We start from the raw sequence: 27,699 nt of genomic DNA, 5'->3' as shown, positions 1-27,699 counted from the left end.
TGTCTGTGTGTGTGTGTGTGTGTGTGTGTAGGGGCTGAACTGAAGCTTTGTCCTCAGGTCACTGGCTGGAGGAGTCTCTTTGCCTTCATTTATTCAGGGGCCCTTCAGATCTTGACAAATCTGTCACTCTAAATTTGCGAGAGATTATGGTGCTCTCTCCCCGGCCCGCAGAGAGGTGATATATGATATCTGCTGCCCCTATTGATTGCCTGATCTGGTGGCAGAGGCCGGCGAAATGAACTTGAAATGAACATCATGCCTCAACTCATTGTGCGTATAATACACTACTTAATCCCACATTTTTCAGCCGCTATGGAATTCAATTGATCAATCATGTTCCACTGATAGTACTGTTTTAGGGGTTATTGCTGCTCCCTCCACTCACTGACCTTTTTATTTATTTATTTATTTTTTTGTATACTCAGGCCCTGGTGGTAAGACAGGTTACAGAGGCAGCAAAGGAGGGGAAGGGGGAGGGAAAGGAGGCAAAGGCTAAGGAAGCCTGCTACTGGAAGAGGTGGCAGTGGGAGGCGGGGAAGCAGAGGAGAGGGAAGTGGGGAGGAGAAAGGAGGCGTTAGAGGAGAAGGAAAACAAAGTGGTGTGATGAAAGCATGCGGAGAACCCCCACCCCCCAGAGAGGCTGGAGGAGGCTTGCGGGAACTCCTGTAGGAGAAGGAAGGCAGCAGTCATGATGAATGGCGAAGGAGCACAAAGAAACTTATGGGGTGCAGGGAGGTGAGCCGCAGGGCCCAGGAGAGGGCAGTGGCATTACTGGTGGGGGACAGCCAGCCAGCCCTCCAAATACACCACACGTACCATAGGCTCTCAAGGGCTCTTTCCAGAGGAGGGGGTGGCATCCTTCCATCAGCTAGGGAAGGAAGGGAGGAATGAAGGCAAGGAGAGAGGGCAGGAAGGGAATGAGGAAAGGAGGTTGGGAGAAGCCCTGGATCAGAAGGTCCAAGGAGGATAAGCTCAGGGAAGGAGGAAGCCCAGAGGCGTGGAAGGGCAGAAAGAAGGAGGGGAAGAAAGGGAAGAAGCCTTCCGCACCAGAAGCTGGAAGTGCTGGCTGGGGTGAGGACACTTACTGCAGGAATAAAACCAGCTGGCTCTACTTTCGCTGAAGACTGGGTGTCCTGATACCTTCTCTGCCCAGGGCCTGGATGAGGGTGGCTTTGCAGGGGAAGGAGAGGAGGAGGAAAAGAAGAAGAGAGTAAAGGAGGAAGAGTCAAAAAGGAAAGAAGGAAGACAGCTGTCAGTGCTGACCACCTAGAGGGTTCTCCCGGGAAGATGGGGAGCGAGCTCGGCATGGGACTTTCCAAGGGCAAAGTCTCAGACGGGACGGCAAGGAGGAAGAAAGAGACCACTGTTAGGCCCAGCTGTTGAAGGGCTGTCTGGCAGAGCTGGGCTGAAACAGAGGTGGAAGCAGAAGCCGATCTTAATCTAGGTTTCTAGGATGTAAAAGCAGATCTTAATCTAGTGAGCAGGGAAGGAGAGCGCGTGAGTGATTAGACACCATCCATTTCAAAGAAGATCCCCTATCCAACAGCCCCTTTGCCCCCAGGCCCAGCAGCCAGTCAAAGAGCACCTTGTGGCAGGGACCGTGACTAATGCATTTCTGCAGCTCCAGCATCAGGAATGGCCCCGAGTAGGTACTCAGACTCTCCCGGGTGGCATTCAAAGCCATACCTCTGGCAGAAGGTTTTGGGACTGGCCATCTGACTGGCCTGGCACCCAAGGACACCCAGTCTCTCATCAGGTAAGCCCCACACATCCCTGGCTAGCAAAAGATGTGCTATCCCCACTGCTTGTTAGCCTCTAACAGCATCAGCTCTGACGCACAGGCCTTTTCCACTCTCAGCAACACCATCCTGCCCATCTCTGGTGCCTCTACCAATAGACAGAGAACACTGTGTTCCTGGTGAGCAGCAGAACTTAACCCCGGGGCTGCTGAGCTGCCATCCAAAGCAGGTGGCAGAGGCTGCTTAAGACTGGGGCCTGGAGAACACATCTACATTTGAACTCCCTGCACCAAGAGGGCTGGAGGCTGCTGGTCATGTGTCCTGGGCTTTCAGGAGGAATTCTGATTTCCAGTATTCTTCCCCATTCTCTGGCCACATTTTTAGATTGGGGCTGGAAAATATGGTGGCTGTGGGTTTAATAAGACCAAACAGAGCAAGGAAGGGACCGTGTGCTAGTCAGTCCCCATAGAGGGAGGGTTCAGCCTCATTCTCCGTCTGCCCCCTGCCCAGCTCCCATTCTGTAGCAGCTCACAAGTATCAAGAACTCATTACATGCCATTGCTGTTATTTACAGAGCTCATTTAATCCTTCCGACAACCCTGTGAGGGAACTACTATGATAACCATTTTAAAGATAAGGAAGCTGAAGCAAAGAGAGGTTAAGTAGCTTGTCAAAGGCCATGAAGCTAGTAAATGACAGCCAGATTTGAATCCAGGTCTGTCGGAGTACAGAGCTTGCCCTCTAAATCATTTCACTCTGCAGCCTGGGTGCCAAACACAGTGGGCCCAGTTGAAGGCCACTTGGCTCCATCCAGGGCACAGCCTTCCTCTCGGCATCCCTCGTTCTTTGCCTGGCACCCTCCCCAAATGGAGGCTACAGCCTGTGGCACAGGTGCTGGCTGAGTGCAGACTGTGCCCAGATGATTAGAGGATGTCTGGTCCAAATTTTTCATGTTACCATAACTAGCAGGGGTGGGCAGTGACTTTTCCAAGGTCACACAACTGGGGAATGGGACTCCCAGGACTGGGCCATTCCAGGTGCTCTGTCCACTGTGGCATGAGCACTCTCAAGGGGGTGAGCTACTACAGGTCTTTTTGGAACACAGATAGTATGTAAATAAATTAATTCGATTAAACAAACTGCTGAGTCAAAACTTTGACATAGATTATTCTTTCGAGGATAACAAAGCTCATATTGTCTTCTTATCTGACTGTTTCCTATTTGCTTAGCATTTAACAAAAGGTCTTCATAGATCTTAGGTTATATGGGCTTCCCAACCACTCTCCAAGGTAGGTAGGGATTTTAATCCCTTTTTACTGGGGAGGAAACTGAGGCTCAGAGTAAATGAGGTGCAGGTGAAGCGAGGGCAAGTGACTGGCTCAAGGGGACATTTGCTGGGGATCCTGGCACAGGGCAGGTGCCCTGACAGCTGTGGACTAAATAGACGGACAGAGTGGCTGCCTGCCCAGCCAGAGCCCAGAGTGTGGGGCTACTGACAGCAGGACCCTAGTCTCCAGGCAAACGAAGAGAACTCCAAAACCAAAGATCAACTTGACTGGAAGGAGAGCTGCCGGCATGGTGACAGTGGTTACTTCCCAATCACAAGCAATTTTTATTTTCTTTTCATCTAAGTTTTTCCATACCATCCAGGCTTTGTGCAATTAGTATGTGCTACTTCTAAAATCACTATTAAAAATGTCTTTACTCCTCAACCAAAATATCTCATCTCCTCATTCATTCAGCCCTGCACTCACTCCCCATCTATTCCTGGGTGGCCCTGGAGCTGGGCCCTATCTCACACCTCTCACCCCAGGTCAGGGCCCTGGCACTGGCCAGTCATGAATGGAGTTGTCCAGTGGGTTCTCAGCAGCTTGGGGAGGGAGACACCCCCTGAACCCTGTCTTGGGAACAGGGCTAGGGACAGAAGGGTCACTGCAAGGGACAAGAGACAGTTGGGGGTGGTGGTAATAGATAAAATGAAATAATGGGCCAGGCATAGTGGCTCATGCCTGTAATCCCAACACTTTGGGAGGCTGAGGCTGGAGGATTGCTTGTGTCCAGGAGTGTGAGACCAGCCTGGGCAACATAGCGAGACTCATCTTTACAAAAATAAAAAATTAGCTGGGCATAGTTGTATGCACCTGTGGCTCAGCTACTCAGGAGGCTGAGGCGGGAGTATTGCTTAAGCCTGGGAGGTCAAGGCTGCAGTGAGCTAAGATAGTGCCACTGCATTCAGCCTGGACAACAGAGTGAGACCCTGTCTCAAAAAAAAAAAAAAAAAAAAAAAAGAAAGAAAAGAAAAGAAAAATAAAGAAAATGAAAATGAAATGATGTCATTTGCTTGGGCAGAAAGCACCAAGGCTCATCAAAGTCTACAAAATCAGGGTGGGATGAACGGGGTTGCCCATCAAATCCCAGGAAGCAAGATGAGGTATTTGAGAAGAATTTAAGTATAGCAAAGAATTACACTAACTTTGGCCGGGCGCGGTGGCTCACTCCTATAATCCCAGCACCTTGGGAGGCTTGAGGCAGGTGAATCACAAGGTCATGAATTCGAGACCAGCCTGGCCAACATGGTAAAACCCCATCTCTACTAAAAATACAAAAAATTAGCTGGGTGTAGTGGTGGGCGCCTGTAATCCCAGTTACTTGGGAGGCCTGAGGCAGGAGAATCGCTTGAACCCAGGAGGCGGAGGTTGCAGTGAGTTGAGATCATGCCAGCCTGGGTGACAGAGTGAGACTCTGTCTCAGAAAAAAAAAAAAAAAAAAAAAGAATTACACTAACTTCAGTTTTCTAAGCTCAAATACAAACATCTATCTGTCTATGGAGAAAGTAATGATATTAGGGCTTTCACCTACACTCATCAACCTCTTCAAACTTTACGAGGTACTTATTACTACTCTCATTTTCTAGAAAAGGAAATAGTCTTAGAGAGGCAAAATTATTTGTTCAACACTGCACAGCTAGGAAGCAGCAGAGCCTGGATGTGAACTCAGGGATGTCGGACTCTGAAGCTCTCTCCACTCTACCATGTTTGCCTTCTCTGTCAAGGACCCATCATCATTTACTGAGCACTTACTGTGTTCTGGGCAGGCTCAAGGTACTTTATACACATTATCCACAGTCTTCACAGAATGCTTGCAAAAGTGATACTGTTAGTTCAATTTTACAAACGAGGAAACAGGCTCAGGGAGAGTTCAAAATATGTGCAAGATTGCACAGCTGGCAAGAAGCAGTCTTGGGAAAACTGAGTCTTCATCCGCAGGCAGAAAATGACCTCAAAAAGTGATATGGGAAGAAAAGAGAAAAGCGTGGAGGTGGGGGGACCAGTGGGTGATGGGCCTTGGGCCTCAAGGGCTGGGGGAGCAGTGGGGCTCAGGGGCCAGCTGTGCTGGGGATGGGGGCTCTGCCCGTTCTGATGGTGGCCTCTGCTCAGAAGGTGCTCTCTCTGCCTAGCTACTCCACACATTACTTCCGCCTCTGAGGGGTTCACCCCCAGGCTGCCCCCCAGTCTTCCCAGCTGCCAGTTGTTGCAGTTTCAAACTCAATTGTTCTCCTCGGTAGTGAGGCAAATGGAGTCATTAATTACCTTCTATCGGCTGGGCTGAGTTCAGAACGCGATCAATATCCCCGCTTGTCATTCAGGGCAGCCTGCCTGTGCAGGCCCAGCCCCACCCCCACGGCGGCACAGCAGGACCAGGGAGGTGGAGGTCCAACTGGGAACAGGGAGTGAGGTTTGGGAGCTGAGGAATGGGGTGGCTCCCCAGAGGTCAGGTGCTGTCCAGACTGGGAGAGGAGGGAGGATTGATGGATTGGGTGGGGGAGTCACAAGGGAGAGTGGAGGAGGATAGAAAAGGAAGGAGTGTTCAGGAATGAAGAGAGAGGTAAGGGAGATAGGAGAAGGGAGGGAAGAAGAGAGGATGAGGGGAAAGTGGGATTCCGGGAGTGAGGGAGGAATAGATAGGAAAAAGGAGAGAGGAGGGAAGGGGCTCCAGAGGGCCGGGCTGGGAAAGGAGCTATGGTGACACTGCTTGTCCAGGGAGATGGATGATATGCCCCATTGCCTCCCATCTTTAAACTGGACATTCAGTGAGTCTGGCCTGGCCACAGTTCCCAAGCCAAGCTCAAGAGGTGGGCATAAAGTGGGCCGGGTGCAGTGGCTCACTCCTGTAATCCCAGCACTTTGGGAGGCCGAGGTGGGCAGATTGCTTGAGCTCAGGAGGTCAAGACCAGCCTGGCCAACATGGTGAAACCCCGTCTCTACCAAAAATATAAAAATTAGCTGGGTGTGGTAGCATGTGTCTGTGGTCCAGGCTACTTGGGAGGCTGAGATTGGAGGATCACTTGAGCCCTGGGGATGGAGGCTGCAGTGAGTTGAGATCATGCCACTGCACTCCAGCCTGGGAGACAGAGTGAGACCCTGACCCTGTCTAAAAAAAAAAAAAAAAAAAAAAAAGAGGTGGACATGAAGAAGGCTTTGGAAATCTGGCCCAAACCTTGGCTCGGGGCAAGACCAGGTTCTGCCCAGCCTTCTAGCCCTGGGAAACTACCTGCTGTACTTGACCAAGCCTAGCTTCTAAACACTCAGTGAGTTCATGAATAGGGAGAGGCTGGGGTGGCTGTGGGCCTGTCTGACCTCAGGCTTGCTGTACCCATTCACACCCACCGGCCTCTAGGGACACTAACTGTACTAGTGACCCTAACACAATGCTGGACCAGAAGTAACATCTCCTGGATTGAAATCCTAGTTTTGTTGCTCACTTGCTATAAATCTCCTGAGCTTTTCTGGATTGAGTTTCCTCAGACATATACAAGAGGGCTGTTAGCTCCTCCCTCACCATTAATTTCTCCTTTCTCTGCATTCTAACAGCCATCTATCCAAACCTCTATTGTAGAAATAGTACTAATAATAACTAAAACAGATCCAGTTTCTACTTGGATACCAGACACTATGCTTAACATGCATGCACTGATGTAATCCTTACAATAACAGCAACTAACATTTATTAAGTGCTTAGTATATATCAGGCACTCCTCTGATAATCTTACATATATTAACTCACTTAATTTTCACAAGAACTTAAACATTATTGTCCCCATTTTGTAGATGGGGAAATGAAAGTGCAGAGATTAAGGAACTTTCCCAAGGTTACACGCCTCACAGATGGCAGAGGAGCCAGAACTCAACCCTGGCAACATGCCTCTGGCAGCTAAGCTCCTAACCTGGGGAAACTGAGGGATAGAGAGATTAGGTAATTTACCCAGAACAACTTATGATAGCCAATAAGTGGCAGAGCCAAATTTAGAATCTCTTCGTATCACAGTTATTATTTAATGTTTGTTTTCTCCTCTGAACTGTGAATTTTGAAGGCAGGGGTCCCATAGTTTTCAACTTTATAAACTTCATGTAGAGAAAGTGATCATGAATGTTGGCTGATTTGTTGACAAGAATTCCAAAAGCAAAGATTGGTCAGTTCTTAACTTGTTATGCTCAACATTTTACCTTTTAGAAGGAAAAAGAAGCAACAAAGGAGGCTGCTACTCTGAATTCAGTGTCACTCATGTTCTACAGCTGGAAAATATGAAGAGAATTTAATTGGATTCCCTCTTAGATATTTAAAATTAAGACAAAAACCAAAAGCCAGGCTCAGAGAAGTTAGGTAATTTTCCCATGTCACATAGCTAGTCGTCATAAGAATGGGAACTGAGGTTCCTAGCTCAGATCCCTTTCCACTATTGCAGGCCACTTAATTCTGACCAAGAAAGAAAAACTGATGAAAGGGAAATGATGGGGATGCAGGGAGAAAGCAAGCATGTCTAGAGTTGGCAGTAGCTCAGGAAGGGGGTGCAGGGCAGAATCTGAACTGAAGAAAGCAAAATGCTCCATGCTGGGGGAAAGACATGGCCAGGGATTCCATGGCAAGAGATTCTAAAAGAGACCATAATTCCACGAGGATGGGATGCTCTAAAAATGAAATTCTGCTTCTATAAGCTCAAATAATCAACCTGACAGCATAAAGGGAGTGGGAGTGGGGGAGGGGTGAAAAGAGAAGGACATTTCAGGAAAATCACTGTTGTTGCACACAGATAAGCTTTAAAATATGATGATCCCAGATTTTAAAAGGACATGTACATCGAACAGTGGAAGATTATGCAGCCATTAAAAAATCGTGTTTTCAAAGAATATTTAATGATATGTGAAAATGGTCCTATATTAAGTAATGTTAGGTGAAAATGGCAAGACATGAAGCTGTTTATATGGTATTGTTCAATTTTTGATTAAAAAATTATATATACACAAAAAAGAAAGAGAATGGGAAAATATACCAAATTCAACAGTGGTTATCTCCTGGTGACGACATTGTGAGTGAATTTTTAAAAATTTACTATCTCTTCCAGGTATTTCCCAATGAGCATGTATTGCACTTAGGATCATAGAAGTCACTTTTTTTCCTCTTATGCAGGATACATGACAGATGGAAGCGGGGACCATAACCAAGGATGGATATGAGGGTGGCATGAGCCTGTCAGGAAGACAAAAGCTCAGAACAAGCTGAGACAACAAAAAAGGGCCTTGGAGAAAGAAAGAAAAGAAAGGCAGGTTTTGGCTCAGTCCTAGGGAAGAGGATGTAATATTGAGAGAGAAGGCAGAACTTCTCAACCTTAGCTTGCTTTTGTCTTCTCCAAATGAAAGAATCTTCAAACTGAGCCCAGTAGGAGGGCACTAGTGCCCTGGTCAGGGAGGGGCCAGGCAGGTAACCTCTGGCCATTTCAGTGAACTTTCCCAGGTCCACACAGGACCCTAAAACTGCTGTTGATGATCCCTGAGATGTCACAAAGAAAGGGTGAGGCAGTGACAAGCCCAAGGCCATCCTGCCTGTCAGAAAAGGGGGAAGAGGTACACATATGCAAATGACACTCAAAATCATAAATTCAGGATCAGGCTCTGGAAATCCTTTAAATGAAATTATTATACAGTTAATTTATGGGCAACAGAAAAGAAAATGGTGATATCCCAGAGCTTGCACGCACTCACAAAAATAAGTTGTGGCATATTTACTCCATATCAACGCTTAGATCAAATACCTCCCTCATAAACACTTCCCTAGTTGCCCTGAGTGGAAGCAACTGCTCCTTTGTTTTTTTCGTTCATCATATGACTTCATGCCTTGATCACGGCATTCATCACATTCTGATTATATAATGATGTGTATGTCTACCTCCCTGCTAGATTGTAAGTTTCTTGAGGTCAAGGACTGTGTCCTATTTACCTTTGTAAATCAGTCCTGCCATACTTTGTACATAGCAGGCACTCAATTTGCTCATCGATGTAAACCAGATTTTTAAAAATAATTTATTAAGGAAATTATGTGGAAGTAGTGAGTGTTAACATTTAACCAAGAATCTCCTTCCTAGCATAATGGACAAGATGAAAACAAGTAAAATGATTGATGGCTGTTGGGCTCAGTAGTTCCCAAAGCATTCATTCACTTACAGCAGCCAGGAGGAGGTCCCCATTGGTGGGCCATGTGGCTTTCCTGTGTTTTCAAGGAAAATAACTCTTTTGCAAAAAACTAGTTGGATGATGATATAGAAGACATCCTTATGACCTTAATCGGGTAGAATTAAGAACCCAAACCAACAAGGTGAAATTCAGCAGGGATAAATGGAATGCCCTATGTTTAGGCTAAAAAAAAAATCAATTACACAAGTGCAGAATGGGGTAGACCTGGCTTGATAGCAATTGATGTGAAAAAGATCTCGAGGTTTTAGTTGACCACGAACTCAATATGAGCTTGAGTCTGACATGGCTGCTAAAAAATCAAATGTAATCTTAGGCTATATTATGGATGTAGAGTCTCCAGATGGGAGAGTGGCAAGGCTCTACTGTGCCTGGCATTGGTTAGACTGTCTCTGGAGTTCAGTGTTCATTTCAGAGGAACTTTAACCTTCAATAATGAATTCTGAGATGGGTAACCAGGATGGTGAGGGAACTCCAAGGGCAGGAACCATATCATGTGAGAATCTGAAATCCACCCAGGACCCAGCCCAGCATTTGCCAAGAGCTCAGTAAATAAGGTGGAGTGGATGAAAGGGAGGGAGGGAGGATAGGGAAGGGAGGGTGTCAAATGGAGAGCTTTACCACCACCACCATTCTCTGTGGCAAATGCCATTACCTCTATTTTAAAGATGAGGAAACTGAGATTCAGAGATATTATGTAATGAGTCAAAGTTCCCAGAGCAAGTAGGGAGTGGAGATGGACCCACATCTGGACATTTGGATCCCACGTCCCGTGGTCTTCCCTCAACCCGCATGACTTGGTATAAAGTGATGCTGCAAACAAACAATGGCCACTGTCCATCTCTGACATATGTCCAGGCAGGGCTGTGGCCTTTCAGGCAGAACTGTTGGAGGAAAGAGTTCTATGGTGAGTGGCAGATAAGACAGGATGACCCTTAAGAATCTGACACTCTGCCTTGTCACCATCCAGCCCAGCCAAGGCCTCTCTCAATCTCAGCCACTCCCAGGCTCCCAGGCTGAAGCCCCATTTCCTGCTTGCCCTTCTAGTCCATTTCCCCAGATTCCTATGGAACACACAGCCATGTGTCTGGGCATTTAATGAACAGCCAATTGTCTGAGTGCAACAGCCTTGCCTTCCCCAGCAGGCTCTAAGCTCCTGAGAGTCACATCCCGGTTCTCTGCTCCTCTCATACCTCCCAACACACTGGGCACCTGGGCCCACATTGATACAAAGATCCCCAGAGAGGCCAGAGAGGAAGGTGTCAGTTTCCTCAGTATCCTACCGATTTACACACCAAAGCAGTCAAGGACTCTTAGCTCACTGAAAACTGCCGAGGACAGAGGGATTGTCTGAGGGGCCCCTTAGGGCCCTGGCATTTCCTAACCAACCGGTAGAGAAGAGGGAGATATGGAGGAAACCTAGAACCCCGGGGAATTGTACCAGCACATTTACTTTCCTCACTTTGAATAACTTAGCTCCCCCGAAAAAGAGCCCCCAGGTTACCTGTGGAGAAGAAGAGCGTGGCACCCCACTGCCAAGTCACAGCCAGCCTAGATGTGTGCGATCCATGTATTAAGAAGTGGAACGGTGGAGAGTGGGTACCGACAAGGAGGGAGGTGAAGGCCAGAGGCCTCAGGAAGGGAACACACAAGTTGTGGGAGAGGGAGGACAGACCCGGGGAGGAAGGAGAGGGGTGAGCCTTGAGTGGGTTTAGGGGAATTCCCCGAGGAGATCAACTTTCCTGCCTGGGAGCACTGGTATGCAGTCCTGCTGGCCTGCTGCAGGGGCTGGTGGGGAAGGAGGGCTCACTGAGCGTCTAGCTCCTGGGACCCTAGCCCTTTCCCAGCCTTCTCTGGGCTCTCAGGGAGCGGGTGGGGCCCTCTGCCTGGTGCTGTCCCCGTTTGGCTCCAGCAGGGGCCAGAACCAGTTAGAAATCTCTGGAACCAAGAGGAAAGGGGGCTTTGTTAGCTCAAAGGACACAAGCAAGGCGAAAAATTACATACCAGGCCGCCCTAAGTATGCTTGTTTAGAGAAACTGCTTGCATTTATGAAGTCTTTGGTGCGGAAAGCAGGGTTGCAAATGACTGCATCAGAGCGACAGTAAAGGCCATTAATTTCCTGTTATGTTTTCCTGTGTTGGGGGCTTTATTAATTTAATTTTACACTGTCGAACAACAGCGAGAGCTGACACTGCCACACCGCCAGGGCTGGGGTTTTCTTTTTGTGTGTGTAGCAAGGCTTTGCCTGACATGCAAATCAACGCTATTACCAGAACCAATAAAGATGTGTGGAGGGAAGAGGGGAGGGAGGGGGAGGGAGAGAGCAGGGGGGAGAAAGGACCAACGCCATCCTTGGCCAGTTTCTGCCTCCTGTGCCTAGCACCTCCTGGCTTCCCAAGGCGTCCTCCACAGTCAGCAATTTCTGAGCATCCTTCGCTATCCTTTTGCCCTCTTCTCCCCATCCTCTGCTTCTGGATGGTTCTACCTCTGTCATCCTCTTCTGTCTCAGTTCCTGGTAGAATTTGAATAGAGCAGACATGGAGTTCCCAGAAAGAGAAGGGAGATAGACTTCTCACTGTCTGTCCCCAGCTGAGGTATGTCGCAGAAGCCATAGGGGCAAGCAACATGATGGTGCCAAGCCCACAGGCCAGAGCAAAGGCCTATGCTGCGGACTTCCTCTCCAGGCATTTTCTCCCCCACACTCCCCTTTCATCTAAAGTCAAGGGTCCTGGCCCACTTACACATTATTAGTGCACACACGCACGAACCCATGTGCTTGTGCACGTGAAGAAGAGTCCAGAAGAACAGATACTCCAATATTCCAACTTGCTTTTAAGTCCCTCTGTGAGCTTTCATACTTTAACATTGTCAACCACTTATTTCCTTTGAATTACCAGGAAAAAAAATACGGTCTCTATTTCTCCTTAAAAGACTCCAATAATTATCTTCAGTGGCTGTAAGGCACCCACATGGTTCAGACCAAAATGCCAGAGAAAAATGGATCCCCAGCATCCGAAGAAAAAGCAAGTCCCTAGAGGTTCCTTTGTATAGCATTCTGGTCCCTTTTGCTGCCTGGACCACATACCCACTGCCCAAGACCACCCACACTGTCCCTCACCCAGGCGGCTCCTACAAGCTGGCTGCCCCAGGTGGCCCACAGTGCCCTCGGCTCCCCACACCACCAGTCCACCCAGGTGCCCACACTGCCCAAGGGCTCATGCTGGGCACTCTGCCTAAAGAGATGGAGATGGCAGGTGAGGAGGGAAGAAAGGAGGAAAGAACGGCTCCTGGAGTCACTCCTACCAAACCTACTGTCCCCATCCCTCCATCCCAGGCTTCCCAGGCTGCCTGGGCCGAGGGAGATCTGTGTGAGCCAGCAAGGGTGTGTGAGTGTGTCCGCGCATCTCTCCCTCTGTCACTGGCTCGCTTGCTCTCCTGCTCACACTTTCTGCTTCAGGAGCTGTTTGGCAGGCTCTGGGAGGCTGTTGGATGGAATCCAGCTCTCCCTAGGAGGAAAGCATAAACTTCATAAACTGCATTTACTTTAATGCAGGTTCCTGGAGCTGCTTTCCTCTGGCTTCTCTTCCCTCCCCTTGTCTGCTGTCTGGATCACATTCTACTGCTGCCCCTGTGTGTACCCCAACCTTACACACATGCACACACATACACATGTACACACATACACATGCACACACACTCTAGCCAGTCCTCCTGAAAAAGGTGAAGCCTGGGGCAGAAAGAGAAGGGCAAGGTGTAAAAGCTCTGCCTGCAGGATAAAGCCCCAGCCCCAGTCCTGGAAAGGCCCCCAGGAGATGCCCACACACTTGTCTCCAGTAGAGATGAGCACAAAGGGTGCTTTGAAGCAGGCAGGCGGAGCCTCAGGGAGGGAGGGGATGCTGACATTTCATGGGGGCAGCCAAATTAGGAGCCACCTGGAGGATGGGCCACAGGGCTCCAAGAATGGGAGGGAGGGAAGGCCAGGCCTCCGTGCAGGTTGAGGTTTGTGAGGCCTCTGTTGTCTAGTGCTGTCAAGGTCAGCAGGTTCAGGTTCACCGAAGGGTCAGGATGGTTTGAATTACTGGCTCCGCTGCAACTCGGCTCTGAGGCTGCAACTTGGCTCTGAGGCTCGTGATCTGTCTCGCAGCCCCTGAGCCAGGCCCAGCCCTCCCCCAGCCCTCTATGCCTTTCCACCCCAATGGGGCAAAATGGAGAGGGTCCCAGACAGCCCTAAGGCCACCATGGCTCTGAGGAAGGCAGGGCAGGAGGGGTCCTTTTCTGGGCTCCAGGGCGGGCAGCAATGGTCAAGGAGGCTGCCAGGACCATTCCGCTGGCAGGCAGGGATCTGGGGTCTCCCTAGCCTACATCCTCTCCAAACCCTTTTTCCAGTGGCCTGCGCTTCTCAGCTTCCTGCTTGTCTGCAGAGGAAGAGGCGCCCAGGGAGGTGAACTCAGGAGTAGCAGGGCCCGGGGATAGCTTCGGCGCTCATCTCCTCCTTCCTGCTTCCATAGCCTGTGCTTGGGGAAGAAGGGCAGAGCTGAGGCAGCAGATTTCCTGCTTGGTGCCCTTGCTGGGTGGGAAAGGAGAACAATGCCTACCTGCAGGGCTGGAAGGTAGTTGCCAAGTGAAAGACTAGGAAGTTGAAGATGTATTCTGACAAGATGGGTGCTCGTCCACGAGGGTGCAAACATGGAGCTGGGCAGGAGTACCAGACAGCCTTTGCTGAGACAGTGGTATACCTACACCCGCCCACCCCAATTTCCAGCGGTGGATGGACACATACAGTCTCCTCTAGGGCAATTCTGTATATTCTCTCCTGGTAGGGTGGAATTGACCTCTCTATTCTGAATTTCTGGCATTGTATGAAAAAATATATACTCTTTTGTGCTAAATCCCAAAATACTTCCCCAAACAACCAGATGGAATTCTTCATCCACAACAGCATTAACTAGTTGGGAAGCAAAGGTAGTTGGTGATTTGGCTGCTGTCTCTGATATAAAGGCAAGGACTTATATGCAGATGCATGCACCTATGTTGATCCACACAGCCAGGGCTAAACCCCTGTACTTCCCCACAAAAAAAGTACAAATCACCTATGCACAGGGCCCAAGATAAAGGTCCTTCTAAAACATCGACAGAACCTACACCTACCTCTGGATAATGACATAGTCAGTATTCAACAGGCTCACGGCCAACTCTACCCAGAGAGTTTGGCTAAAATATGTGATCCAACTAAGACAGAAAACCTCCCCCCTCAGGTATGAACAGTTTAATTTCCTTGGTTACTAGGGAGATATAATCATAGCAATGAATGTGTGTTCATAAATGAGTTTTTTTTCCCCCTGTGTTTTGGTGAGTGCTGACCTTTGAACCTCAGCTCTTTCTTGGACTAAGTGGACCTTAGCCAGGTTTTGGGTATGAGTTGGAAAATGAACATAGGTTGAGCCAATGCAGTTAAAGTCAGAAACTTGTCTAGACAGATGGTTACCATCATATAGATTTGGTTTCTGGACTTTCATAGGGCCTGTCTCCTAGGGAGGGGAGAGTCTGTGATGTGCTAGATAGTACAGTGTGTGAAATCATAGAATCCCACCAATAATCCACAGAGCACCTCTCCTTAGAGAAGCACAAACTCAGGCTGGGCACAGTCGCTCATGCCTGTAATCCCAGCACTTTGGGAGGCTGAGGTGGGTGGATCACCTGAGGTCAGAAGTTCAAGACCAGCCTGGCCAACATGGTGAAACCCTGTCTCTACTAAGAATACAAAAATCAGCCAGGTATGGTGGCAGGTGCCTGTAACCTCAACTACTCAGGAGGCTGAGACAGGAGAATCGCTTGAACTGGGAGGCAGAGGTTGCAGTGAGCTGAGATCTTGCCATTGCTCTCCAGCTTGGGCAACAAGAGTGAAACTTCATCCAAAAAAAAGAGAGAGAGAGAAGCAAAAACTCTGCTCAGCTGCCCCCTACCAACATAAATGCCTTCTTACAGTGCTGAACCAGGGTCTGGGAGGAGAGCAAAAGCAGAGAGAGGCCCTGCAATTCCCTACCCACGATGTAAGCTCACTTTAGAAACCTGGGAGCACACTCCTTCTCCCCGTCTTCTCTAGCAAAAGAGTCGGATGGCTGGGTGTGCATGTGTGTGTGTCGGTGTGCATGTATGTGTGTCGGGGGGGGTGTGTGTGCATGCAAGAATTAGGTGGTAAACAGACATAATTGTATCCAAGTGCTGGGTTTTTGTTTACCCAATATGGTGCAACCTCGCCAAGTCTCCTGGGCCCTCCTCAGCCTCTCTCCAAGCTCCTTCAGGCTGAATCCCATCCCACTAAAATAGTGTGTACTCAGCAAAACTTCTCCAAGCTCTTCCCAAGCAGGGAGCACTCAGATCCCTCTCTGGTTCTGCCAGCCCCCTGCATCTGGACCAAAATGCCGCTGAGAGACTCAGGCCCTGTCTCCTTCCTCTGCCCCCAGCCATACCCAGCCCTCACTCAGTTCAGAGCAAGCCCACCAAGGAGCGCTCACCCACCGACTTCCCCCATCAGCCTCAGCCAACATGGCAGGCTGCACCCGAGTGCCCAGGGCCTGGGAAGCCAGGCAGTGGCAGCCTCTGGTCTTCCTCGGGGTCCTCCTTGCCTGCCTTTACTGACCCCAGCCCTCCTCCCACTGCCCCTCCAGAAGGAGAGCCGGGAAGAGAGCTTGGTGACCAGGGCACGCCTGGTTTACATTAATGAGATACACCGAGTGTAATCCAGCCATGGAGGCAGCCTACAAAAGGAGGCGATCGCGGGCGGCCAGGAGCAGAGCTGCTCAGGTAATTGGTTTATCTATCTGGAAGCAGGGGGAGCAATCTCAGCACAGACTAGCAGTAAAGTCTCTTCCTTAAGGCTATTTCCTTTGTCTTTTCAATTGCTTGCACATCCATGTGAGAGAGGGAGAGAGTGTTAAAGAGAGAGGGAGAGGGAGAAATGTTAATTTGTGAATTAATGGCTTTTCTCAGCGGAATTGTAAATTCAAATGTCACCTCACACGGTGACACCACGGCTGGTCTGCTGAAGAAGCAATGATAAGATCCCCCACCTCCCTCGGTGCCCCTCCCTCCCCAAAGATAGCTGTGGAGTGGAACATGCTACTTTTAATTTGCAATAACAACACAACAGAGGTATGCAGTAATGACTGCCTTCTTCCACCCTCCTGGCTTCCTTCCCCCATAGTCCAGTGGCTCCCCCATTTCCTCGCTCCTCACACCTTTCTCAAACAACACCTCACTTTGCCCTGGGTGCCCCCCACCCAACCCCAGCCAGTGCCCGATCACATGAGGGGGTGCCTTTGGAATTGACGATGCTGCAACCCTCTCTTCTCCTTCAATAATCAGGGAATTAATGACCCTGAAGTTAAAGTGAGGCTGATACCGAGGCCCTGCCCAGCGTTGGGAAAAAGCCTTCATTGTTTTCAAGCAGGAGGCGGGCAGCAGTGAGGAAGATTCATGGATGGAGATTGAATATGCAATTTTCTTTCACCTTGCCAAGAGCTGCCCCTGGGCTGTGCCTGGCCTAAATTTTTCCTTTTACCATCTCTGCCTTATCCGGCCCTCCCACCTCCCTTCCATTCTTTCCAGAAAATTACCTTCAAAATTGATTTCCACTTTTACAAACAAATATAATGGGAACACAGGAAAAAACTTGGGCTGTGATGAATTAGGGCTGTCAGGTGCTTCCAGGTCTCCTTTGCTTTTGTTTTACTACCCGATCTGCTCTTTGTTTTTCCAAGGGCTAGAAAAAGTGACCCCCCATCCACTGAGTGCCTGACCCTCCAGGCCACCGGGGCCTCAGCTCCCAAACCCCATCAGTGGCCCATGGCGGAAGTAATCCAGGCCCTGAGACTCTGTTAGCCTCCAGGTCTCCCAGTGGAAGCCTGAGCCAACTCCTCCTTTTCCATGCTCTGGCCCTTAGGAACCCACTCTCTGAATGTTCTCTAACCGCCACCCCCAAGCTATTTCCCTTGACCCCCACGCCATGTTCCCTCTGGCCCTCATACCTCTTAAAGTCCAGACCAGATGCAAACCTCCACCTCCTCTAATGTGGGCAGGATCAGTGTATACCTCAACTAGAGCAAATAAGAGACAGACAAACACTGAGAGATCCCGAAAGACAGGCAGGCAGAAGATTGGGGGCAGGATCCCAAGATCGGGAGACCAGACTCCCCTTCTAAGGGCTACAAGGGTTCTGAGCTGCAATTCCCTCACAGCCTGGCTGTAAGGGCCTTAGTCTCCCTAGTCTTGGGCCCTAGGCCACCCCTGGAGGCAGGCTCAGGACAGCCCCTCCCTTTATCAGCAGAAGGTAGGGTGATGCCTGTGCCCAGGACCATGGGCGCTCAACACACTGAGGCCTGGCTTAGAGCTCTCCCCGCTCACACAGTCACACCCGGCACTCTCTCCAAGCACGCACACTACCCAGGTAACTGCACACCTTCCCAGTGCATGACATTCCCATCCCCTTATACCCAAAGACCTCAGAGCGGTAGAACACATGCATACTCACACTTGCATAAACTGTGTAAAAAATTACATTTGGGTTTATAAAACAAACATACATTTTCCAAGGTAAAGAAATAAACTTGCATGTGGGAGCAGTAATGTCCACAGATGAATAGAGGGAGAGATGCCCACATGTTAGAAAAAGAAGAGGATCTTATGTTTATTTATTTATACACACCTAAAATGCCTGTGGAGGCTGAAAGATGACATGTGGCCCAAGTGGGTAACCACAGAGTAAATGAACAGATAGAAATGGACAAACGTTCTCCCAATCCCGGGTGTGAGGACGACAGCTTTCCTCCACTGCGCTGGTCCCATCCGGGTTAGCTAATCCCAGCATCCACTAAAGGCTGCCCTAGTTACAAGGAGCTGCACCAAGGTTAGGGCGCCTATGCCCAAATAAATTTCTTTCTAACACAACTTCATTTCCTCATGAAACATAAACCTGCCAATTAGGCTTTCTTTCCCAGATACACAAGGATGCGTCTCCAAGATGAAGTCAGCTCAACACTAAATTCACGACCTCATGGAATCCTCTCCACAGCCCCCAGGAAGGAAGTGCCATTACCATCTTCATTTTACAGAGGAGAAGATTGAGCTGATGAAGGTTAGGTGACTTGCCCAACTAGTGAGGGGCACCAGGATTCAGACCCTGCTGTGCTCACTCCAGAGGCCACATTCATTCCCACTGAGCCCCACTGCCCATCCATGCCCTGCTCTAGGGATGGCATGCTCACTCCTACCCTGTGCCTTCCTTCCTGGTGGGAGTCTTTGCAACCTTCTGCTGCCTCAAGCCAGGCTCGTAGACAAGGGCAGGTGCTTCTCATTTCCACGGCTTAATCCCCTCATTTGCTCCAAGTCTAACCTGAGCAACACTCTTGGGGACCTCTAGGATGGTAGCTAACTAAGGAAATAAACTGCTTCTTCCATTTATGGCTTCATCCAAAGCAGAAGGGAGCTATTAAAGGCAGTGACAGGACTCGGCCATCTGCAGCCATGCAACCTGCCCTGCCTGCAAACGCACAACTGCACCAGCTTGGCACCACTCAATGGCACAATTCATTGTACACCTAATGAATGGAATGCAAAATCATGGCCCCCTGCAATCTCACACCTCAAAGGATGATCCCAACACACCTCCCTCACACAGACCAGCAGATTCTCACCATATGACTTCATTTGGATTCTTGGACAAGTTGTGTAACTGCCCTGCGCTTCAATACCATCACCGATGAACAGCAATGTTTTGGGCCCCAGCCGAAAGCAACTGGGTAAAGGCGAAGGACTTCCAGTTTTCAGCCTGATTGTAGATAGGGAAATACAAGAATCTCTCTCCTCCAGCCACATAAACCAGCTCACACAGTGTTCAGGGAATTGGCATCCCTTCAAAGGGCCCAGGGAATCCAGCACTAACATGCCCACCCATAATTACAGCTAAGAAGTGAGGATTTTTGAATGATATGAATGGGGATTCTACCTTCTCGGACTGATGGACAGCCTGTCTTCTGGGTGCTTCAGAACATAACTTCCTCATCTATCTGGACTGTCTACCTGTCTCATTCTGGGAGCTCCTGGGCTCTTGGGATGAGGGTCAAAGCCTCTTGACCAGCACATTTCTCAAGGGAAAGTCAGGGGGTGTTTTCCATACTCTCAAAGGCCAAGGCATGGGAAGGGGTCTCAAACAGGCTCACAGTCACTGCCAGTTTTTCCCCAGAGTCACAGCTGATCAGTCCTTTCCTAATATCCCCAGGGAAATGATTGCTGCAGATACTAATAACACTGTCCATATTCCGAGTGCCAGTGCCAATAATGTTCTGGGCATTATCACTGTGAACACCAATAACTACTGCTGAGATTGTCTCCAATAATGCCAGCACTCACTGCAGTGATTGTCCTCACTAATGCCCATCACCGTGACATTGTTAGAGCTGAAGAATAGGCCGAACTGTACCCAGAGCAAAAGAGGAGCAGCTTCCTGGAGGACAAAGAGATTCACAGCTTGCCCTTGGGGTATGACACTCCTAGGAAGATGCCACAGTGCTTGGGGCCAAAGGAGGGCCAGTCTGGCAGGGTCTTTAAGGGTCCTCCTGGAGGGAGATGAGCCCCTCCATTCCCTCTAGGGTCTAGCCCTTTAATGTGCGTGCTCAGTCCCATCCCAACACCCCTTAGTCCCCTGGTCAGTATTCTCTTTTGCTGCAGTCCCGGCCCAGTCACTGAAGGACACACCTGGGTGTCTGCAGCCCATGCCCGAGGCTGCCTTCTGTGACTGGCCTGCCAGCTGCTTTGCTACCTTGGCCTGACTGCAGAGTTGGGCTACATCATCTTGACACATAATTATCTCCCTTATTCTTAATCATCTGAGCTGCTCCCTAATGCAAACTGGGCCTGGCTCCTTAGAAGCATCCAGAGTGGGGGAAAGGGGAGGAGGGGCTGCCACAGCTCTACCTTTGCTCTCTCCTCTCCCTTCCCACCAGGGGCTGGTGGATCAGGATTGGAGGGGGAGGTCAGGGAGAACTGGTCTCCCTCATAGGCCAGGCCTCCACCAGGGAAAATACATCTCCATTTGGCCTGGGGTTGGTCAAGAGGAGTTGGTAAGAGGAGGAGAACCGTCTCTCAAAAAAGAGTGAGGCCTCTGATATGTCTTGCCACCCGGATAGGCCCAGCAGGTAAATGTTTCAGAGGAAACTTGGGGGCACCGTAATCTCTTGCTTTGAAGGCTTTCACTGCTTCCTGCAACATGGCCCTGGTGCATCACTGTCACACTGCTGGAGCATGAGCTTCCCAAACCCAGCCCTGCTCCTGTCCCTTCCTGCTCAGACTACTCCTGCTTTCAGAAAAAAAAAAAAAAAAAAAGCCCAAACTCCTTCTATGGTCTAGACCTGGCCTGCTATCCTGTGGCCCTAACCTGTCTCCTCAGCCTTACTGTCCACCACATCTCTTTGTGCCTTCTATCCCTGCTAAAGCTGCCCTGCAGTGGCTGGCCAAAGGGCCTTCTGGTCACAAGGCTCAGTCTATCAGATAGAATTTCAGGCTACCATTGTCTCTGAACATTCTCCTCTTCATCCCTCAGGCCCCTCCTCAAAGAGCAGCCCTTCCTGGCCATGTACTCCCTCCCCAGCCCAGTTCCTGTGGCCCGCCACCAGACCTCCATCGCAACAGGATATCTGATGGGCCTATCTGCTCTTTGAGCTCACATGTTTAACATGCCCCACTAGAATGTAAGCTCCTTAAGGACAAGAATCATATCTTGTTCTGCTTTGGGATCCTATAGTACCAAGCCTTTCTTGAAACTGATGTCCAGGAAAGGTTCACTGAACTGAATTGATTAGAAACAATGAAGGCGATCAACCACTCAGGAGAGCGCCCTGTTCTGGGCCAGCCAGGCGCAGCCCTGGGTGACCACAACCTCATGCCAGTGCCTCCCTACCCCCAGCCTTTCTTGCCCCACAGGAGCCCATGCAGCAGAGGGCATACTTGGCCACGAGGTTGGCATACTTGGCCACAGCCTCAGACTGAAAAGGGAGAGTACAGAGGGGTATCTGTGGCCTCCCATGGGCTGCTGGGCCTCTCACCCCTAAAAAACACAGGGGCTGCTGGTTAAGGGAGAGACCTTTAGGGTTTGAGGCAGATTCTACCAAAGCACTTGGGGTGCCAAGGAGCTTGGCCAAGGCCTGAGCACAGGGAGCCTCAGGGAGAACTGGGACTTAGGGCCTTTCCCACAACCTCCCCCTGCCCATCAGGGGCCGCCGCCAAAACAACCACAATGAAATTTAGTGAATGGCAAAGGCCGTGGCGGCCAAATCGGTTTGGATATTTTGGAAGAAGGAGAAATAGAGCCAGACAAGCTGTTTCCCTGTGAAACGAGGCCATTAGGGCTTCTGGAAGGAGGCCAGCGCCAGGTCATCACTGTCTTGTCAGGCCTAGGCCTCCCCTCCACGCTGTCCCTTCCGCTGGGGGCCTGGCCTCTCCCACTCTCTTCCCTCAGCCTAGGCTGGGGGATCTTGGACTGTGGGCCCAGGCAAGCTCAGTGTTGTCCCTTTTCTCTGCTCCTCACTCCATTAGGCTTCCCCTACCGAGGGTTTGTCTATGTGTGGAATGACCACATAATTTATTGTCCAAACACGACATTTTTGAGAGAAAAGGGAGATGCTGAGATGCTGACTGGCCAAGATGCAGAGACAACAGGCATAAATTGGGACTGTTCTGGGCTAATGGGATAGATGGTCACCCCTTTATGCTCATTGTTTGAGGATTCTGCCTCTTTCCTGGGAGATGTCTTTAAAATCCTCTGAAGGCCAGGAGGTTACCACTTCTCCAGCGGGAACCATGAGAAAATGGGGGCAGGACGCAGGCCGGAGACACTGGTGTCTCTGTTGTTCAGGGTCTGCCAGCCCTGTGCCCCAGCTTCACGCATCAGAAGAGAACCAGATGGTCACCAAGGGACCCCCAATGTCACGACATTTGAAAAACACTTTGTCCCAGGATCATCCCTACCACTCTCCCCCTTATTTCTTTTCTTCTCTCCTCCTCCTCTTCCTTCCCCCTTCCCTTTGACACCCTTCCTAACAGCCTGGCTGCACCTTGAGGCATTTCAGGGAGGTGAGGGAGAGGGCCAGGGGATTTGGAGTGGCATTTCTACTCATGGAGAAGAAGAGGAGAGAGGGGTCCCATGTCCAGCTCCCTGTGAGGTTTGAACTGGGGGCGGTGTGCAGGTGTTAAAGAGAAAGGACACCAGGCTAGGCTGCACATGACATCACTACCTCACCTCCAGACAGATTGGGATCAGGTAAGGACAAGGTAGGTTGGCCTTTCATCCTCAGGCCAGAGACCAGCTGTTCCCCCAACTCCAAAACCTTCCCAAGGTAAACGGTTCTTGCTTCTCCTCCTGACATCCCACAGGGATCGATAGGGTGAGCCCTAGTGGCAGGTGAGGCAGCCGGGGCTGCTGAGCAGATGGTGAAGCTGATGGCCCCACTAGCAGCCACCCTCCCTCTCTCCAGGAGCCAGCAGGGCAGTGGGGGGACCTGGGCTTTGCTACTAAAATTGATCTCACAGCAGAGCAGCTGCGAGGCCAGGCCGAAACCGGAGCTTGGAGTCCAAGGACAAAGCATGTGAAGGGGAAGCCACACCTCTTCCCTCCTCCCTACCTTCATCACGTTTCCTCTTCTCACCATTGGAGCGAGGAATCCCCAGGATCCCATTGATGGAGTAGGATCCCACTGGGTCATTGGAGGCGCTGGAAACAGGAGGGGAGGCCGTGCTGGGAACTGGATGAGAGGAAGGAGGAAATGGCATCAGGATAGCAGTTTAGCAGTTGTGATCGTAGGCCAAAGCCCCAAGGCTGGGGGGCAGAGAGAAGCAGAGGACATAAGGAGGGATGAGGAGCCCACGTTCCTCTCATTCCTCTACTTCCTCTGGGGTCTATTTAAGAGGGGACTGCATTGCCATATACAGGCTATTATTCACTTCTGTCCAGCCCTGAGGTAAGTGGTGCCCAGTTTAACCCCAGGCCTTCTCTGCAGACCTGTGGATTTCACTGGGGTTCTCAAACTCACTCTCCTAAAGACGGATGGAGTACAGGCCCAGGAAACAGCAAACCTGTCTCCTTCTAGGCAGCACCTCCATGGTCCTCTAGAGAGCACAGCTCCTTGGATACCCCCTTGCACAGCTCATCCAATCCCTGGGGCTGGGCAAACCCTTCTAATGAAGCCCCAGCTCATTGTTCTCAGTCTCCTGGGCTGAGTCTTTACCAATCCTGATTTAGAGTCTGTGGCTTTCTAAGATCTGTCTCTGATTCTCCAGGAGACACAAGACTGGTCCTGATGTTCCCCAGGAGTGTGCATTTCTCTCTCTCAGCTGCTTTTGGTCTTGAAATCACTTGAGAAACTCCTAATTTCCCCCTTAGGGCAAGATTAGTGAACCCATTCGCTCTATGGTGATCAACTCAGGTACAGCCTGGCCCAACCCTCCCTCCCAGCACACACTGTAACACTGGCCTAGTAAACAACAGCTCCTGCCAACTCCTGGAGGGCTGGAACTAGTCATTTCTATTACCTGCTGGTCAAGACAGAAGGAGACAACTGCCAAGAGGAGCAGCAGGAAAAATGTAACCACATCCCAGCCCCTCAAACCCCGGGCCTCATCTATGGCTACAGTAGCACCAAGTTTCTCCTTGGGCCAGAGGGAAGCTAGTCTGTGTGCGTTGGGGACAGAGGAGGAGTGTTAGCAGGTGTTCTAGTAGGCCTGGGTCACGTCTTTGAGAGGCCCTAAGCATGGCTCAAAGAATGAGGAGGATGGAGAAAGGATGAGAGATACAGAGTGGGTGAGACAGAGGCTGAGCAATCAAGAGAGAAAGGCCAAGAGGAAAGAGGCCATGAGGAAGGAGGAAGACAGAACAGAGCCAGAGCTACACCTAAGAAGAAGAGAGAAGAGAGGGAAGGGCAGAGGGAGAAAAGAAGAGGAGCCAAGGGGAGAAGACAGAGGACAATGTTAAGAACAAGATGGAATGTTAAACAAAGATGGAATAAGAAAGTTGATATAAAAGAAAGAGGGCACAGGTAGGGAGACAGAATCAGATAAAAACAAAAGATGTTGGAGAATGAGGGAGAGGGAAGCAGGAGGAGGAGAAGAAGAAAAAGAAGAAGAAATGCTAGAAGAAAAACACTTAAGAGAGAGGAGAGGAGGGGAGAGGATAGGGACTGACTAAAGCAGGGCAGAGGGAGGTGACACAAGTGGGAGGCAGAGAACAGTCCTAGAGAACCAGTATCTCTCAGGAAGACCCTATGTGGACAGGAGCTCAGGTGAGAGGAGTTGGCAAATAGGTTGGGCTCTGGACCTCAAGCGGGCAGGCAGTTCCCAGGGGTGGAGCTGCGTTTCCTGCCTTTCTCTAGGTGGGATCTGGTTTCCTCCCCTTCCCTGAGCCCTCTTACCAATGGTGTGGCCAGGGGCGGTCACTCCTGTCCCAGCCCCATCCGGCGTTGGGTGGAAAGGCTGCTGAACTTTGGTCCGGATGATTCTGCAACAGCGTCACAACAGCATCACACATCAAATGCCCACTCCTATCCCGGCCAATTCCAGCCCAGCCCTGCAAAGGGGCTCTCTCCCAAGTTCCTCAGCGATTTCCTCATCCATCTGCTCCCTGTGTCCCTGCCCTCACTGACTGCTGCAAGGCACAGGGTTTTCCTTCTGTTGGCTCCGCAGATCCAACGTAATGCAGCTCTGGGTGAATGCAGCCTGCCTTATGTCCTGCTATGTGCATCACCCAAATTATTGTTTGATTTTTGGTAGCAAAGATCAGGGCAGAGACCCAGTGAGCACAGCATCCTTTCTTTTTCTGCAGGGTGAGGACTGCCCTAGTGGCTTGTTGTCCACCTTTCTCTCCTCAACCACACACGCATCTCTTCCTGGTACCAGGACCTCCTGGGTTTTGAGATCATTTTGGAGCTGGCTTTCCTACTTGGGACTGTGTCACAGTCCTTCAGAGTTGAGAGGATGAGATTTCCCCATATCCTGAAAGAATGAGAAGTAGCCAGGGAGGGGCTGGGTCACAGGTGACCCTTTCTTTTGTCCCCAGGACTCCAACACAGCACACAGTCCCTTTGCCAGATGTCAGGCTGAACAATCTCTTCTTGAGCCCACTTACTGCCCTCAAACAAGTCAGAGCCCTGTTCCTATATGGCTGGCTGGTTTGCTGGCCTCCTTTTCTGAGGTTCTTACTTGGATTGCAGCGTCTTTGCCAGCCTGGTTGAAAGGTCTGGTGCCCTCCCTGTACATCCTGGGGAGAAGGGGCCAAATCAAACATTCCAGGAGCCTGCTTTTCAGGGATCTGAAAAACCGAGGGCTCAATGATGCCAAAGACCAGTCCCAGGGCCAAGACGGAGGAATGCTCCCCCTACCCACTGGTCAAATGAGGGGCCTTTGGAAGCCACTTTTCTGATAGCGTTCCTTGTCCCCACAGAGAGGCATGTGAGCCAAGCTCACCTCAACCAGCCAGGTGAGTCACAAGCCATGAGCAAGTCAGCTCTAAAAGCTTTTCCTGAACACTTGCAGGCAGTTGGGATAAGGCCCCTAGCTCACAGTGCTGGATATGAAGGTGGGGAGGGGAGACTTAATCCCCAAAAAAGCTCAGTTACCCGAGGGAATCAGGTAGTTAGTGCTGGAAACTTGGAGGAGAGGAACCATTCCCCTTGCAGGAGAGGGAACTGCGGAAGAAGTCGCTGAACAGAGGGAAATTGATGTAGATCTTCAAAGCCAAGTAGGGCTGAAATCAGAGGCACAGAGGATGGCGGAAAGGACACTGGGCTGCATGGCAGGGGCCCTGAGTCCTGCTTCTGATTTTGCATTTAAGAAGCCACATAGCCTTGGTCTCACCTCTCAACTTCTCTGGGCCTCAGTTTCTTCAGCTTTAAATGAAGGGGTTGGACTACAGGATCTCCACTGTCTCTTTCCCCAGTAAAAAATAACTTGATCCTAAGATGAACAAAGAAGTAGAGGGGAGGGCATCACAAGCTGGTGGAAGCGGAAGCCACGCGAGCCTGCTGCCTTCTGGGTTAATGCCCAGAGTGGTCAGCCAGAATGAGTGGAGACAGGCAAGGGACTAAGAGGAAACAAGAATGAAAACTTGGATGTGATGAGAACCATCACCATTTTCCACTTACTGAACATCTACTATGTGCCAATATTATACACAATTTATATGACATATATATTACTGTTAATTCGCACAACCACCTCCAAAGTAGAGACTATTATCCTCATTTTGCAAATTGAAAACCAAAGCTGAGACAAGTTTAAGTAGCTCACTCAAGATCACACTACTGGCTGGGTGCAGTGGCTCACGCCTGTAATCCCAGCACTTTGGGAGGCCAAGGCGGGTGGACCACCTGAGGTCAGGAGTTTGAGACCAGCCTGGCCAACACGGTGAAATCTCGACTCTACTAAAAGTACAAAAATTAGCCAGGCATGGTGGCAGATACCTGTAATCTTAGCTATTCAGGCAGCTGAGGCAGGAGAATTGCTTGAACCCGGGAGGCGGAGGTTGCAGTGAGCCAAGATCAAGCCACTGTACTCCAGTCTGGGCAATAGAGTGAGACTCCATCTCAAAAAAAAAAAAAAGGCCAGATGCGGTGGCTCATGCCTGTAATCTCAGCACTTTGGGAGGCCGACGCAGGCAGATCACGAGGTCAGGAGTTTGAGACCAACCTGACCAACATGGTGAAACCCCAACTCTACTAAAAATACAAAATTAGCCAGGTGTGGTGGTATGCACCTGTAATCCCAGCTACTCAGGAGGCTGAGGCAGGAGAATCGCTTGAACCCAGGAGGCGGAGGTTGCAGTGAGCTGAGATTGTGCCTCTGCACTCCAGCCTAGGCGACAGAGTAAGACTCCGTCTCAAAAAAAAAAAAAAAAAAAAAATCACAGTACCAATTAGGGAAGACTCAGAATGCAGCCTCTAAAATCTATGCTTTTTGTTACTTTGTCATCCTGCCCCCAACATGTAGGAACCAGGTTTAGAGGGCCTTAAGCCATGAGTGATTTCTAAACTAGGGGGGATCTCTACAAACAGATCCCAGTAAAGCAACATACATATACATGAGGCATGAGGCGATAGGGAGCTGGTCTCAGGAAAGAAAGGGAAGAATTTGCAAGACAAGAGGAAGGCAGAATGGTCAGAGTTTGGCAACCAACTGGAGTCAACCATGGTTTTACAAACTCAGATTTGTGTAACTGGAAGCTTGGTGGAGTTTACATCAGCAGGTCAGGAATAAGGCTATAGGGAGGTGACTGGTTTTGGAGGGAAGTGGTGATGTTGGTCCTAGATGTGCAGCATTTGAGGTGAAAGAGGAGCGTCCAGGGGCAATGCCCCTGCATCAGCAGGCACACAGAGGTATGGATTTAGGAGACTGTCAGG

At 50.1% G+C, this 27,699-nt stretch overlaps 1 protein-coding gene across 6 annotated transcripts in view, besides 6 other annotated features; it reads right to left on the bottom strand.

Annotated features, from left to right (window-relative positions):
- Nucleotides 1-27,699, bottom strand: part of PAX2 (paired box 2) — a 94,549-nt gene that overhangs the window by 25,644 nt on the left and 41,206 nt on the right. For 4 of the 6 annotated variants that reach the window (NM_001304569.2, NM_003988.5, NM_000278.5 and 1 more), the window contains 2 exons: nt 24,718-24,803; nt 22,936-23,055 (listed from right to left, as the gene is read on the bottom strand). In NM_001304569.2, the coding sequence (NP_001291498.1) occupies nt 22,936-23,055; nt 24,718-24,803 (206 nt within the window). Of the gene's footprint in view, nt 1-17,289; nt 17,359-22,935; nt 23,056-24,717; nt 24,804-27,699 lie in introns of all 6 variants that reach the window. The other 2 variants (NM_003987.5, NM_003990.5) reach the window with 1 other exon arrangement.
- Nucleotides 756-1,256: an enhancer, noted in NCBI's record as "H3K4me1 hESC enhancer chr10:102562802-102563302 (GRCh37/hg19 assembly coordinates)". NCBI's record gives its function as "activates a minimal SCP1, AML or CMV promoter by ChIP-STARR-seq in primed H9 embryonic stem cells {active_cell/tissue: H9 hESC(primed)}" and the evidence as "EXISTENCE:reporter gene assay evidence [ECO:0000049][PMID:30033119]".
- Nucleotides 12,451-12,627: a silencer, noted in NCBI's record as "fragment chr10:102551431-102551607 (GRCh37/hg19 assembly coordinates)". NCBI's record gives its function as "represses an EF-1alpha promoter that drives an FKBP-Casp9 reporter gene in an ReSE screen in HepG2 liver carcinoma cells {active_cell/tissue: HepG2}" and the evidence as "EXISTENCE:reporter gene assay evidence [ECO:0000049][PMID:32094911]".
- Nucleotides 13,014-13,927: an enhancer, noted in NCBI's record as "H3K4me1 hESC enhancer chr10:102550131-102551044 (GRCh37/hg19 assembly coordinates)". NCBI's record gives its function as "activates a minimal SCP1, AML or CMV promoter by ChIP-STARR-seq in naive H9 embryonic stem cells {active_cell/tissue: H9 hESC(naive)}" and the evidence as "EXISTENCE:reporter gene assay evidence [ECO:0000049][PMID:30033119]".
- Nucleotides 15,294-16,197: an enhancer, noted in NCBI's record as "NANOG-H3K27ac-H3K4me1 hESC enhancer chr10:102547861-102548764 (GRCh37/hg19 assembly coordinates)". NCBI's record gives its function as "activates a minimal SCP1, AML or CMV promoter by ChIP-STARR-seq in primed H9 embryonic stem cells {active_cell/tissue: H9 hESC(primed)}" and the evidence as "EXISTENCE:reporter gene assay evidence [ECO:0000049][PMID:30033119]".
- Nucleotides 15,294-17,468: a biological region, named in NCBI's record as "VISTA enhancer hs229".
- Nucleotides 15,963-17,468: an enhancer, noted in NCBI's record as "VISTA enhancer hs229". NCBI's record gives its function as "enhancer in: heart[3/5]" and the evidence as "EXISTENCE:transgenic organism evidence [ECO:0001131][PMID:17130149]".

Source organism: Homo sapiens, chromosome 10 (assembly GCF_000001405.40).
Source record: "Homo sapiens chromosome 10, GRCh38.p14 Primary Assembly".
Lineage (NCBI taxonomy): Eukaryota > Metazoa > Chordata > Mammalia > Primates > Hominidae > Homo > Homo sapiens.
The sequence above is the reverse complement of the archived record's forward strand: the minus strand, read 5'-3'. Positions and strand labels throughout refer to the sequence as shown.